We start from the raw sequence: 15,897 nt of genomic DNA on the forward strand, positions 1-15,897 counted from the left end.
TAGCTGATATGAGGGCTTTTTCCTTTTCTACTGAACGTTCTAATTCTGCTCCCACAAACCTGGTTCCATTTGCCTAGGAAACCTGAAACCAGTGTTTTTAAAGTGCATTATGTAGAAGAGTAACTTAGGGACCTTGTTAATATGCAGCTTCTGATTCTGTAAGCAAAGGGTGGCCTGAAGATTCTGCATTTGTAACTAGCTCCCAGGTGATGCTGATGGATGTTGTCCAGAACCACAGTTTGAATAGCAAAGACTTAAAAAAGAAACATGACGGCTGGGCAAGGTGGCTGATGCCTGTAATCTCAGCACTTTGGGACGCTGAGGCGGGCAGATCACGAGGTCAGGAGTTCGACACCAGCCTGGCCAACGTGGTGAAACCCCATCTCTACGAAAAATACAAAAAATTAGCCGAGCATAGTGGCAGGTGCCTGTAATCTCAGCTACTCGGGAGGCTGAGGCAAGAGAATCACTTGAACCCAGGATGCAGAGGTTGCAGTGAGCTGAGATCGCGCCATTGCACTCCAGCCCAGGCGACAGTGCGAGACTCCATCTTAAAAAAAAAAAAAAAAAAGAAGAAGAAAGAAAAAGAAAAGAAACATGACTTCTTCATACTGTGGTGTATTTTCCTCCCATTTTCAGATTCATATGAGGTCGTTTGAGCTACAGAAACACACATTGTAGCAGAAGAGACTTTATTTCCAATCTTTCCTTCTCCATCTGTTTCCTCTGAAGTTTTTCCCAACATTGCTAAAATGAAAGTTCTACTTTCCTTCTTTCAGCATCTCAAGCTGTGGATTTACTTTTATTCCTCCATTTATTGTGAAATTCTTATTAAAAAAATTTTTTATTTGAACTCCCTCTCTCAAAACTTTCCCAAGTGAAGGACTAAATCTCACACATCTTTATATTTTTTAATACCTAGTATTGCATTGAATATATATATATAATTAAAAATTGTTTCATATAATTAATGCCTATGTGTCTTAAATACCATAAATGAATTCCTTCATTTTAACATCCCCATGGTTATAATTTGGAGAACCATAAACCATTGTACTAAGACTTTTTACCACCAAGAACCAAAACACAAATCCCAGTCCACTCAGCCCATAGCATATCCTCCCTTATTGTTTCATTGATTTAACATGTCGTGGAATAAGAAGATAATATATTACATAATATAGCATAATATAATGTAATTTAATGCAATAGGCTTTTTTATACACTGAAATATAAATGTTGATAGTTGTTGAAAACCGAAATCTAAATATATTTTATAATTGAAAGAGAAGCTTCTTAAAATATGATACAAAACGTGTCACTTGGATTATGATCATGTATTTGAAATGCTTTCCCACAGGCAAACTGTTTGTCCATGAGTGGGCTCACCTCCGGTGGGGAGTGTTTGATGAGTACAATGAAGATCAGCCTTTCTACCGTGCTAAGTCAAAAAAAATCGAAGCAACAAGGCATGGCTATTTAAATTTTCTAAACTGACTTCAGGCTTTTATCCATTCTTATTTTCCTACTTTGATTTCTTCCAAAATCATTCTTAATGCAGACAATATGTCACAAAACAATGCTTTTATTTTTTTTTAGAAAGTGTATCTTTAAGTAGTTGATTGCTATTTAAAACATACATAATTTCAATGGCAAGCATTCAGTTGACAATTTAACATATTTTATACCTCTCTACCATAGCCTCCAGAACTCACTTGCTTGGAGTTGGGCATGTAAATGGATATACAATATGCTGGGATAAGATCAAAGTTATTTACATTACACAAGAATGCACAAACATGGTTAAGTAGTGCTAAATGTGGACTGAGTAAGAAATCAAGCAGCTTCAAGGAGCCAAGCAGGAACTTCTTGGAGATTTATAAAGGTTATTTTATAATGCCGTCTAGCATCACAGTTAATAATAAACTCTCCTTTTGATTCTGTGATCAAAAGAGCAAAATAGTTGGGAAGAATCAATTTAAAATTAAAATTGGTGCTATCACCTCATCAATGTAGATGTCCTGCTGGGGCGTGGGACTTGACACTAATGTGAGAACTGAAAGGTATATGATTTCAATCAAGGTCCTTCCTCTGCCCCATTGCACCAATTTTCAGGCACATCTTTTAGAGAGTATTACATTTATTGCATTTGTTTATGTCATATTCCCCTTAGATGTACAACTGCTGCTGCAGAATATTCAGCATGATTTTCCACATAGATAGTTTCATCATGTCCACCTAGTTTGGAAGCAATAGAAGCATCGACATATTTATAAGACTCTCTAAATAGCTGAATAGAAACTATTCATCATTTCCTGAATTTGAACTGAAAGCCTATTGAAAAGACAAAATATGTTCACATCTCAGCATATTTGTTGTAATCACTGCCACCTGTGGTCAATTACATTCCATAAAACATAGGTCTAAAATGTCTCCATCATTTTTTATTCTACCATGGGATTCTTGGCAGCACCTCATCTTCGCTTCCAATCACATTTCCCTTTGGATAAAAATGCTCTTTGAGTAATAAGAACATTTGTGTCTATCCCATGTACTATTTTTTGGGAATATCTTCTTTGGAAGGAAATCTACAAAGAACTTCAAGCTAAAGTGGTACTCAGAGTAAATTGTCTCAAAAATTCTCTTATCCAGGTCCCTATAGCATATTTACCACCAAAAGTCCAGCAGGAGAGATGTCTAAGCTTTAATACAAGGAGAGAACTCATTAGAGGAGAGAACTCAACCATTGTGTTTATCTGGAGGCCCCACTTAAAATTTCCCTCTAGAATTTCTTAAAAAATAGATAATTATTTTGATTGGAACCCTTAAACCCTATAGCCAGGATAGGAAGTACATGGTACCATAGAAGAATAAACATCTTGATATAAAGTTCATCATGAATAGAACCACTTAAGATTTCTGTAAGTGCTAATGATTCAGTTGCCTCAAAGATTAACTGTCATATATTTTCAGGTGTTCCGCAGGTATCTCTGGTAGAAATAGAGTTTATAAGTGTCAAGGAGGCAGCTGTCTTAGTAGAGCATGCAGAATTGATTCTACAACAAAACTGTATGGAAAAGATTGTCAATTCTTTCCTGATAAAGTACAAACAGAAAAAGCATCCATAATGTTTATGCAAAGTATTGATTCTGTAAGTATGCTGATAATTGCTTCCAGAATTTATAATCAAATGACATATTGTCATGTTTTTAAAGTATCTGTTCAGGTGACCTGAGGATTATATATATTGATATAGAGTTCTTTGAACACTGGCTAACACATAGTATTTGCTGAACTAGTGCTATCTAGTGTTATCTATTATTACGTTACCATAATTCTTATTATGGTAAATCTACCTTATTGTAATATTGATGCTCAGTAAATGATATTTCATTCAACAAACAACATATCTGCAGAAGACTTTTAAATTTTTCAGGTTTGTAGTTTGATTTTTAAATGCATGGTATATTAAAATTATTTTTTATTTTATTAACCTTTTAGGTTGTTGAATTTTGTAACGAAAAAACCCATAATCAAGAAGCTCCAAGCCTACAAAACATAAAGTGCAATTTTAGAAGTACATGGGAGGTGATTAGCAATTCTGAGGATTTTAAAAACACCATACCCATGGTGACACCACCTCCTCCACCTGTCTTCTCATTGCTGAAGATCAGTCAAAGAATTGTGTGCTTAGTTCTTGATAAGTCTGGAAGCATGGGGGTAAGATCACTTTTTCTGGATATAGGGATGTAGGATATTTGAAGATCCGAGAACACACTGAACTCTGTCTGCACCTAGATTGTTCTAAATTGCATGGTGGCATAAAGTACCATCACTGCCCATGATCATGACTTCAAGATACTGCAGCAAAATACCATAGTAAAAGAAAGATGCCAGTATAATTAAAAATACCTAATCCAAGGGTCACTTCCTCCTTGGATTCCTCCAGAAAATGGACTGGGCTTCTAGGCTGGTTAAAGCCCTTCTACTGTTTCCCAACAATGTCCTGCGCATACCTCTGTTACTGTATATTATATTTATGTTACACATTTCTCTTCCACTAGCCTAGGAGATCCTCTAGGACTTGGAATCATGTCTTATTCATCTTTATCCCCATTTCCTAGAATAAAGTTAATCACATAGGAGTAATCAATAAATAATTGTTGAAATGAATGCACAGCAAACAAGTGGGTGCAATGTGATAAGAAACCAGAAGGATGGCACATTTAAGGCATAGTGAAGCATGCTGAAGAACAGGAATAAGGTCTTCAGCAAATGAGGGAGGTATTAAAAAGGGCAGAGAATGATAGAACTGAAGGAATTGAGCCACAACAATGCAGATAGTGGAGACAGCATGTAAAATGAAGATGTAGAAGTTTCTCATTGTGATTTGGTTCAGGGAGTTCAGAAGGAAATTTGGGCATAAATTGGCGGGGAGTAACACAGATCAGTAGGGTGATAAGGACTGGAGAAGACAAATGCATGAAAAAGCTTACACCTTAGACAATCCCCTCCGAAAGAGGGCTGGGTCCTGAGGGTTACCAAAGAGCCAATTCAATTAACCCATTAGTGGAAAGGGGGCAGTGAGAGGTTAGGAACAGAAGGAGAAAGTGGGAAGATAGGGCCTTGGCCTCTCCAAACTTAAAATGAAGCTTGGGTAAGTATTACCTTTTGGGCAGTCTAGTTTCCAGTGGATGGAGTGATTCCAGTCTCTGGTTGGAGTCTGCAACAGTCTGGTTTGATTTATAGGCTTGGGGGTATGGTTTTATCTGAAGACAACAAGCACAGGAGCTCCCAAGAGTAATTAGACAGTCTCTAAGATGTGTCTCCTCACCCCAATTTCAATGCAATCCCCACCCTACCTTCCACCTCTTACTTGGATACTCAGTGGTCAAGAATCAATTGTAAATAAAAACCTGCACTCCTTACTATACGTGTCCCATAATACACACCACCATTTTTTTAATGTTATCAATTAAAAATTTGATAATTGCTTCCTTTAACAACATCAATTACCATTCATAGAAAATGTTACCAATAAATTCTGTCCATTCATTTTATGTGATCTTCTATTATTTTCCAGTCAAAATCACTTGTTTGTTTTTCTTGTCTTTTTAATCTAGGGTAAGGACCGCCTAAATCGAATGAATCAAGCAGCAAAACATTTCCTGCTGCAGACTGTTGAAAATGGATCCTGGGTGGGGATGGTTCACTTTGATAGTACTGCCACTATTGTAAATAAGCTAATCCAAATAAAAAGCAGTGATGAAAGAAACACACTCATGGCAGGATTACCTACATATCCTCTGGGAGGAACTTCCATCTGCTCTGGAATTAAATATGCATTTCAGGTGAAAATCGTACTGCAAATATATTTTGGTTTTTGTTTCTTTTCAGGACATTTTCATGTTAAGTGGTACTGCACATGCTTGCTTGCTGCCTAATTTTAACATAACTAATCCTAAGAGGCACAGGACTAAGCATATAGAAAAAAGTTCTCTTGATGTTTTAATGGATCAGTGAATCAATGAACAACCCATGGGTGAATAAATGACTATCAATTTACCACTCACTTACAAGCCCAAGGAAGTCATGGACTTTGCTGTCTTGTTACCACGCAGTAGTCAGTGCTCGATAAATGTTAGTTAAATAAGTGTGCTTGGATGCAAAAGCCATTAACATTTGGGGAAATGACACAGGTGATATAGTATGATTCTACTTCAAGCTAGTTCTCATTTGAGTTTCTGTAACATTCAGCTAGGGCAAACTATTTATTATACCTCTTAAAGCAGATGTAGCAAGACTGTGAGTCATATTTAGGGTAAGCCATACGAGTTAGAGCATGAACTTTGACATCAGAGTACTGTATGTGCTACTTACTAACCAGGTAATCTTAGGCTAACCTTTCAGTCTCTTTGGACTCTTAGTGACTTACCTATACAATATAGGAAATAGGAATGCCTACCTCATAGAGTAATTATGAGGATTACATGAAATGATACATTTACATACTTAGAACAATATTTACTATATTATATAGTAAATATCTACTTCATATACTATATATACTAATTATATAATAATTTATTATAAGTGTATATTTATAATAATTAGTAAATATATGTATAATTATTATGAACATTATTTTTAGCCAAATGGTCATCTTGAGCCCACAATTAATATAAATTATGTCATTTTACTGTTTAGAAATCTTTACTGTCTCTTCACAGTCTACAAAATTGTCTCAATTTCTCAGTCTGATATTACTAAAAAGTCTCCCCCGCTCAGTAAAATTGTCCTCACTTATCTTTCCTGCCTTATTTACTCCATTCTCCCCTCTTGATGCTCTGTCCTCCAAACAACTTACTACACACATTGTTCTCCAAGTCCACTGTGTACTAACAGCCTCCAAACCTTTGCACATGCAAGTTCCTCTACTTAAAATGCTTCCTTTTCTCCCAACTCTGCATGTTAAAATTCTACCAACCCTTCAAAATCCTTTCTCCTTCATGTAGCTTCCCATTTACTCCCAACCCAATTGCATCTATCTCTTCCATGGATTGCATGACATTTTAGTTTAGGTTTGTAACATGAAGTCCTGCATTCACATTGCGATTGTCACTTATCAGGTTTGTGACCCTAAACATGATTCTTATCCTCTCTAGTCCTCAATTACCTCATCAGTAAAATAGGATAATTAAAGCTAGCACATAGGGTTGCTCATGTTTTAATTTATTCAAAATATGAACATGCTTTAATCTATTCACCAAGCAAAGCTTTTTCACTCTTATGGTACATGTATATAAGTGGGGAACAGATAATAAATAGATAAATACAAGAATTGCAGATTATGTAGATAGTGTTGTGAATAAACGAAACAGGGAAAGGAGAACTACTTTGGGTAGAGAGGCCAATGAGCCTTCTCTAAAAAGTAACATTTAAGCTCTGATTTGAAGGATGAGAAGAAGCCAGTGGTTCAGATAGAAAAGAAATGCAAAAGTTCCTTAAGGAAAAAGGTGAGAAAAAACTAGATTATTCTAAGAAATTATAGAAGCTAGTAGCAGTGGAGTTTGGCAAATGAGGGGATATGAAATGTGGTTGGAGAGGTAGACAATGACTAGATCTTAAAAAACTTCAAAAAATATGAGGCTTGTATTTTGTTTCAAGCACAACAAAAAGCTCTTGAAGGGTTGAAAGTATCGGAGTTTGATAATCAATTTATGTTCCAGGAAGATGATTCCAATTGCCCTGAATAAAATAAATTGTAGGCAGTAAAAGTGGTAATAGGAAGACATTTTGGGAGCTTGGAGATGGATTAAATTATACAATGTATAAAACACAGTTAATACATAGCGAATGTTCAGTAAACTGTAACACTACACTGTTATTTCTCTTGAACTATAGAATATTCTGTAGTAAATACATATTAGTTTTGTCTTCCTTGTTCATCTCTAGATCTCCTCAGTCTCTGACACAAAGCTCCATAAACATTGTAAAATTGAACCCAATTATTTATTAATATATGAATGTAGGAATGTAGTTCCTACTGAATCCCCAGCACGGTGACTGGCACATTGTAAATGCTTGGTAAATAAACTCATGCAAGAAAAGGAGAGGTGAAAGAGAGAACTCTGCTTCATCTTTGGATCTTCATTTTGTACTTAAATGCGTGGGAGAAGTGTGATGGAGATGCTACAAATGCCATAAATGTATAAAAGCATTTTCCTCTCTTTCCGTTCGGTTTCAAGGCATGTCAGAGAATATTTCCCATATATTGCAATATATATATTAGTCACTCTTTGCTTCAAAACATGCAAAAATTGTAATAAGCGTGGTCAATTTGTTCCCTGATACCAGCTTTCTTAGGGATTTCTACATTCCAAACCCTCTTCTGCAAATCTACACACACACCTTCACTCCATGCCAAAGAAAGTCACTGACAATCTGTCATTTTTCACCTCTTGGCCTGGAATCAAGGTCTCAAAATGGTGCTCCAAGATGCCACCACCAATTAAAACTGTCAAAGAAAATGAAATATGTTGTCATCCTGGGCTAACTTCTCTCTATACTCTTTTACAGGCACCTAGTTTCAAAACTTTGAGTTTCAAACTGTTTGGCATTTAGGAAAAGGATACAAGCTACAAATTGAACTTAATAAGTATAATTTTAATATATTCTTTAAGCATCACCAATATGCTTACTTCTGTGCCAGTTATTATTAGAAGTAAATGAAAGTTGCATAACAAAGTCCCTAACCACATGCTTAGAACTTTCCATATTTTTTCTTTATAAGCATACTGAGGGTTTACTAATTTGTAATCACTGACTTTTTCAAATGTTGAAGTGGATTCTTAATGCATCTAGCTTTAAATGCAAGAGACTTTATAAACTGAAGGCTTGTCTGTCAGAAGGTAGTCCAGTCAAAGAAAACATAACACTAATTAATGTCACATACTGTGATTATACCTTTGGTATCTGGTTGACCTGAGTTTCCCAGGTTGAGATGTTATTGTCATTTAGTCTAGACAGGATTTTCCAAAGCCTGGTCCCACCGAATTCCTTTAAATAAATACTACCTGCAGCTGGGAGTTAAAAAAATTCATGTTTAACTTTCCCCAAGGATTGTTGATTGAAAATTCTTTATTTTAAAATAGAGGTTATCTCTTCTATTCTGCATAACTTTGTTTATTTTCTCTGTAAATTTTTTCTCATTTCCCATTTGTCTATTTGATCTAGGAACATCTGTTGGTAACTGTGCTCTGCATTATGTTTGCAGGTGATTGGAGAGCTACATTCCCAACTCGATGGATCCGAAGTACTGCTGCTGACTGATGGGGAGGATAACACTGCAAGTTCTTGTATTGATGAAGTGAAACAAAGTGGGGCCATTGTTCATTTTATTGCTTTGGGAAGAGCTGCTGATGAAGCAGTAATAGAGATGAGCAAGATAACAGGTAAAACACGATCCATTTATTCCAGGCCTTCAATAGTAATGCATAAATGTAAAGGCTGACAGTTCAACAACGTCTCTTGAGTTTCTGCCTTGGAGGCACTGAAGCTGGGGACCAGACCCAATCTCTGTTCTCGTGGCACTTGGAGTCCAGTTGGCTGGAGAGACAAATAAAACTGTTGATGAAATAACATAATCAGATAGCATTCCTACATAACAGGAGGAATATAGAAAAATAAAGTTCTATGTGAGCAGAGGAAGCCATTAGTTTTACTAGAGTTGTATAGAGCCAGGGAAAGGAAGCATGCAAAACTAGCTGAATTCTGAGCTGGGCTTTGAACAGGTGGTGAATTTCTCTGGGAAGAAAAAGGGGGTAAGAAAAGATGATCAAGTCATGAGCAAAAAACATCACGTTGGGGTGACAATGCAAGGCGCATGGAGGGAATGGTGAAAACCCCATGAGACCAGAGCATAAGTTGTGGGGTGGGTGTATGTGATTAACAGAAGCTCAGACTGAAAAGATCTAAATAACAATGAAGTTTTTATATAAACATTAACTATGGTAGCTGTTATTTCAGACACACAGATGTGATGAAAATGGATTACGTGTTTCCAATACCTTCTTAAACATAGTAGAGAATATATAATTTATGACATGAGTATAAATTATGTTGAATTGGCTTCTAATGGTACTAAATATATGCTTGCTTTTTAATGCTTAGTTATACAAAATCACATCATTTCAAAGTCCTTTCATGGCCATTGTAAAATTTATTTCTATTCCAAGTAGCTCCTTAAAAGTAGTACTTTTTTGGATTTATCTCTCTTGCTTTCCAATTTTCTATCTGCTCATTGCCAGTTATTGTGAGAATACCTAAATATAGCAGCTCTTTCATCTTTCTAATTTTCTGATTTTGGTCTATGCTGGCTGAAATATCTGAAAGTCAACTTTGTTAGAACTAAAATAAAAGATTAACAATCTTTTAACAAAAGATTTCACAAATCTACACTGGCTGAAATATCTGAAAGTCAATTTTGTTAGAAATAAAAGTTTCTCTAAAAGGGCTGTGTAAAGTTTGTGAGCTTTAATACATGGAATTGTAACATCTTTCATATTCTATAATTATCATGCATTTTAGCTAGCTAAGATTTTGATAATGAGGTATTATGGTAGCTTTCATTCCCTAGTTATGACATTTTAAAATGAGCATTTCAGAATTAACCTGTACAACTATGTGCTTTTGGTCTATTTTAATAACACATACTGAAACTATGATTTTGTTTTAACTATTAGCTTAATAATCACTAAAATATATGTACTTATTTTCTAGAAAGCAGTCTAATTAATGCATTTACATTTTAGGAGGAAGTCATTTTTATGTTTCAGATGAAGCTCAGAACAATGGCCTCATTGATGCTTTTGGGGCTCTTACATCAGGAAATACTGATCTCTCCCAGAAGTCCCTTCAGGTCAGAGTTCTCATTCCTTGGGTTTTCATGTTCACTTTTGCCACAAGAAAAAACCATTTGGTGGTTATAAGTTTTGAGTTCCATATTTTTCTCAAAGTAAATTTTTAATTAAAATCTAAACTTTAATCTTAAATAGAAATTACCCTTAGCTATAGCCAAATTAATTGGTGAAATAAGAGTAAAATAAATGGTGAAACAGCAGACATACTGTTTCTTTTCCTATTGCCATGGGTTTGGTTAAGAAATGACATTACAATGTTATAATGTCAAATTTTTCACCAAAAATGGACCTTTTCCAAAATAAAGCACCCATTTTTCAATGAATGCATTTTAAAAGCTCATGCTTCCAAGCTTTCCCCATGCTTAACTTCTATGATATAGATTTAGAAACATGAACTCAAGAACCTGGCTGGGAAATGGAAGGAGTGTATCTTGGAAATAAATTAAGCAGGAGAAAGACGGGGTGAATAATCATTGTCTATCTACAAACATAGGGCTTCTGTCACCTCTTCAACCACTTTTTTCGGTGGCTTTTTTTTTATTCACCTGTCTTCCGAACTTAACACTTTTGCTCATCTGGGTCTTGATAGCACCACCATTTTCTGTTACTTAGATTCAAAAACTTTGAGTAAACTTTGATTCTTCTTTCTTCATGTCCCATGTGAACATAGCCAGTTTCTCTCAAAATATATTTTACAAAAATATTTCTCTTCTTTTCATTCCTACATGTCTATGTCATGTCACTTTATGCCAAGATTTCTGTCTGGTGTTTTCCAGCTCATCAGCTCACTGCCTATATTAAAACTTGCCATGATCCCTAAACAAATCTATTTTCCTCTACTTCTCAACAATGAAAAGAACAGAAGTTATGGGATGTGAGCTTAGAGTATGTACAGATTTGTTTGGACATCTTGTCTGCAGATATAACCTGCAAACAAGTTAAAAATTAGTGTGAGATATAGACTGCTAGTGTTTGGAGAATAAGCTGAAGGATAATAAAGGTCATTTCTGAGGTTGCCATCATCGTTGACTGAGAACATGATGATTATAGTGAGAAGTAAGGAGAGAGAACTGATTCTGAAGATACTATTTTGTGTTCTGTTTATTTTAAATGGATGGTAGGAACACCAAGAAACCCGCTATACAATATAGCAACTGTAGTTAACAACAATGTATTGTATATTTGAAAATCACTAAGTGGATTTTATGCATTCTCACCACAAAAATAAGTATGTGAGGTAATGCCTATGTTAATCTACTTGATTTAGCCATTCCACAATATGTGCATATTTCTTTGTCACTTTAAAAAATGAGTAACTAAACAAAAATGGTTGGCTCTTCTGGACTAACAGCTATCAACAAAAAGTTGAAATACTTTCTTTAAAGCTCTTCTCAAAGAAAGCTTCTACATTTCCTCTCTTCTCAGGATCCCAACCTTTATGTATCAGTTTGCCCTCTTGTTGAATATATTTACTGTCCAGTGCTACTCCCTCTATCTGTGTGAAAAAATTATTTCAAATTTCCACATCAGGAAAACATCCATGAATGCTTGCCAAGACAACCGGGAAAAAAACAGTAAGGTCATATTCATGACTGTAAAACCCTTGTTTCTGCTCTACATGTTTCTGCTCTAAGTCTCTTACTTCCTCACTTTTTAATTGATAACTGTCATATCATCACCAGCTTGCAGAGAGATCACAAGTCTAAGGTGGTCTGCCATTTATAAGCTTGTTCTCAGGCCAGAAATTAAAAACCATCTTGAAAAAAGAATAAAATTACTGTCTTCTGCAGTCATTAATTTTGAAATCTATTTAAACAGCTCGAAAGTAAGGGATTAACACTGAATAGTAATGCCTGGATGAACGACACTGTCATAATTGATAGTACAGTGGGAAAGGACACGTTCTTTCTCATCACATGGAACAGTCTGCCTCCCAGTATTTCTCTCTGGGATCCCAGTGGAACAATAATGGAAAATTTCACAGTGGATGCAACTTCCAAAATGGCCTATCTCAGTATTCCAGGAACTGCAAAGGTAAGCAATCAGCTTTTAGACTTCCTGTCAACATTTTTAAAAAACTGAACATAAATTGTTTAATGTCATAAATGTCAGTACCAAAGGCTGTATCAACTTTAAAATTAAGATAAAATAGTATGTACTTTCCATGCCTGTGTCCTTAAAACTATGATGGTAGGAAAAAAGAACTTATATATCAAGAAGAAGGAAGAAAACGTAGTCAAGACTGTCTGAGAAGAACTTTAAGAAGGAAATGTAGGAAGAGTCTATGCAAATTGGTGGGTAGAGAGCTACAGGGTCCTTCCTTATTCACCCTACCAGGATTGATGAATCTGTGGACTCTAAGGCCAAAACCAAGGCAAACCTTCTAAAACTTATTTTTTCCAATTGAGATGTAGCGAAGTGTACACATCATGAATGGTACTACTTGGCATGCCCTGTCTGAACTGCCTCAGCCCTTACCCATTTATCCTCAACATCCTTAAAACCTCTTTATTCTCTCCCCATTATATAATTTATTTTAGAATTACATAATGGAAATATAGAAAGTAGCTTGACTTTGGATACTTACTATATTTCTGTTGAAACTTTTAGGTGGGCACTTGGGCATACAATCTTCAAGCCAAAGCGAACCCAGAAACATTAACTATTACAGTAACTTCTCGAGCAGCAAATTCTTCTGTGCCTCCAATCACAGTGAATGCTAAAATGAATAAGGACGTAAACAGTTTCCCCAGCCCAATGATTGTTTACGCAGAAATTCTACAAGGATATGTACCTGTTCTTGGAGCCAATGTGACTGCTTTCATTGAATCACAGAATGGACATACAGAAGTTTTGGAACTTTTGGATAATGGTGCAGGTAATTCACAGGTTTTTATGAATAAGCCAATATTTTCCTAATTCAGCATGTTGTGAGTCCCTGTGGCATTGTGGAGCAGTAAGACAGGCAACAGAATTGATGCAGATTAAGGAGGAACAGCAGGAACAGCAGGAAATTTTATCTAGGTAAAACCTACAGAGTGCTTAGCAAATGTCTTGCATGTGGTAAGCACTCAATCAATGTTTTTGGGCTGGGCGCTGTGGCTCACTTATGTAATCCTAGCACTTCGGGAGGCCAAGGTGGGCAGATCACTTGAGGTCAGGAGTTCAAGACCAGCCTGGCAAACATGGTGAAACCCCTTTTCTACTAAAAGTACAAAAAATTAGCCAGGTGTGGTGGCACACACTTGTAATCCCAGCCACTTGGGAGGATGAGGACAGAGGATCACTTGAACCTGGGAGGTGGAGGTTGCAGTGAGCCAAGATCATAACACCACATTCCAGCCTGGGCAACAGAGAAAGACTCCGTCTCAACGACAACAAAAATACCCAATAAATAAATAAAAATAAAAACGTTTTTGGTTGTTGAATTTTTTTGTTTGTTTTTTTTGTTTTTTTGAGATGAGGTCTCACTCTGTCGCACAGGCTGGATGGAGTTCAGTAGCACCATTTCAGCTCACTGATGCCTCTGCCTCCCAGGCTCAAGCAGTCCTCCTATCTCAGCATCCCAAGTAGCTGGGATACAGGTGTGTGCCACCATGCTCAGCTAATCTTTAAATTTTTTTTGTAGAGAAAAGGTCAACAAAAGAGAAAAGGTCTCACTATATTGCCCCAGCCGGTCTCAAACTCCTAGGCTTAAGCCACCCTCCCACCCCAGCCTCCCAAAGTGCTGGAATTACAGGAGTGAGCCACCATGCCTGGCCATACATGTAATTTTTTGTCATCATTGTTGTTTATCATCCAGGCAACCAATGTCTGTCACCAATTAGAAAGGTCTCATTCAGGAGGCTGAGGACAGCATCAAGAAAGCCTGGCTAGAGAGAGGGTGAAGCACAAGCAAACTAAATGTGATTAAGTGATAGAGCTTGGGTCTCTGGCAGGAAAAGAAAGCAGGAGTAATCCTCGACAGCTGGAACAAAGTATAAATATAGTCCTGAGAACTGGGGCCCAGAGGCAGCTAGCACTGCCACAAAAGAGGAAGATTCATCACTGGGGCATCAGATACCAGGTCTGGCTGGTAGGAATCAAGATGCAACGTTGGCCATTATCTGTCTCCCTGGTCTGCACAGATGGGTGATGCCTAAAGACCCTTTCCCTAGATTCTGGATTGTTCTAGGAACGGAAGCTTCTGTTAAGAGGTTAATGAGCAAGGAAATAACTATATTGATAGGCACCCGAATTAACAAAATTTTCTATCAGTATATTTTGCAATGTAACTTATTCAATCATTTTATAATCATATCTTCAACTAGAGTTGCCCCTGAGAAAAACTGAGAAGGTGAAATTGTTCTTTTGTGTACCTCAATGCCTTCTTCAGATATATCAATATTTCCACAACTATCCCTTGCCTCTTTTTTCCCTTTCTGCAAATCTCTACTACATTAAAACTTATATGCACCATGTTTCCCTTCTCAACATTTTGCTAGATGACCATTTAGGTAATTGGGGAAATTTGCTAATTTGGAATGCCTTTACCTGAGATGGTATTAGTGATTAACAATGACATAGAGCAGACATTCTTTAGTCTGCAAATGTCTTTAGTCTGCAGACAAACTTTAGTATGCAAAGGAATCATCTCGAGGGTTTGTAAGAACACAGAATGCTGGGACCTTTCCCTAGGAAGTCTGGGAAATGTGTACCTCTAAAAATCTCCAGATTTAGTAATTTTAGTTGACTGTTGTGAGAATTAAATCCTACACAAAGAAAGGATTTTTCCTTAGTAGGGACCCTTTTGATTTAAACAGAGAGATGACATAGTGTGTTTAGAGAAAGCAAGCTGAAAGCAACCCAGTGGTGGAGAAATTGTAAGAGTACTATATGTAATATTCTGTATATGAATTAATAAGGACAGAAAGGTGAAGTATTTAGGCATTTATTATGCATACATAAATATCAGTGTGTGTGTATGTATGTTATATAGAAATAATAGATATCGAAATAGCTCAAGGGTGTCAATTCTACAATATATTGTTTTGGCAGAATATAATGGAAATATTCTCCAAAGGGTCAATCTAAAAATATTAAGCCTAATCTAGAGGATATGCTTGTAGAGGCCAATTGCTTGTCTTAGAAAATGCAAAATTTCTCTTTACAAGACTTTATTCCTTCATTTCTATAACAAGGCGCTGATTCTTTCAAGAATGATGGAGTCTACTCCAGGTATTTTACAGCATATACAGAAAATGGCAGATATAGCTTAAAAGTTCGGGCTCATGGAGGAGCAAACACTGCCAGGCTAAAATTACGGCCTCCACTGAATAGAGCCGCGTACATACCAGGCTGGGTAGTGAACGGTGAGTAACTCATGATATTTATAATCCAGTGATAGTTTGAACAATATTAGTGATTTGATATAATTAGGCTTCAAACAGGTTGATTAAAACTCAAAATATAGCTTTTCCCATTTATGGAATAAAGT

At 36.3% G+C, this 15,897-nt stretch overlaps 1 protein-coding gene and 1 long non-coding RNA gene across 4 annotated transcripts in view; one reads left to right on the top strand and one right to left on the bottom strand.

Moving 5' to 3' along the window:
* Window positions 1-15,897, top strand: part of CLCA4 (chloride channel accessory 4) — a 33,677-nt gene that overhangs the window by 15,223 nt on the left and 2,557 nt on the right. For 2 of the 3 annotated variants that reach the window (NM_012128.4, XM_011541015.3), the window contains exons 4-12: window positions 1,361-1,469; window positions 2,974-3,151; window positions 3,502-3,720; window positions 5,124-5,351; window positions 8,777-8,954; window positions 10,314-10,420; window positions 12,240-12,455; window positions 13,032-13,299; window positions 15,602-15,772. In NM_012128.4, coding sequence (NP_036260.2) covers window positions 1,361-1,469; window positions 2,974-3,151; window positions 3,502-3,720; window positions 5,124-5,351; window positions 8,777-8,954; window positions 10,314-10,420; window positions 12,240-12,455; window positions 13,032-13,299; window positions 15,602-15,772 — 1,674 coding nt within the window. The remainder of the gene's footprint in view (window positions 1-1,360; window positions 1,470-2,973; window positions 3,152-3,501; window positions 3,721-5,123; window positions 5,352-8,776; window positions 8,955-10,313; window positions 10,421-12,239; window positions 12,456-13,031; window positions 13,300-15,601; window positions 15,773-15,897) is intronic. The other variant, NR_024602.2, reaches the window with a different exon arrangement.
* Window positions 8,881-15,897, bottom strand: part of CLCA4-AS1 (CLCA4 antisense RNA 1) — a 133,313-nt gene continuing 126,296 nt past the window's right edge. The window contains exon 5 of the long non-coding RNA NR_135837.1: window positions 8,881-9,108. This is a non-coding gene — a long non-coding RNA (CLCA4 antisense RNA 1). The remainder of the gene's footprint in view (window positions 9,109-15,897) is intronic.

This window comes from Homo sapiens, chromosome 1 (genome assembly GCF_000001405.40).
Source record: "Homo sapiens chromosome 1, GRCh38.p14 Primary Assembly".
Taxonomy (NCBI): domain Eukaryota; kingdom Metazoa; phylum Chordata; class Mammalia; order Primates; family Hominidae; genus Homo; species Homo sapiens.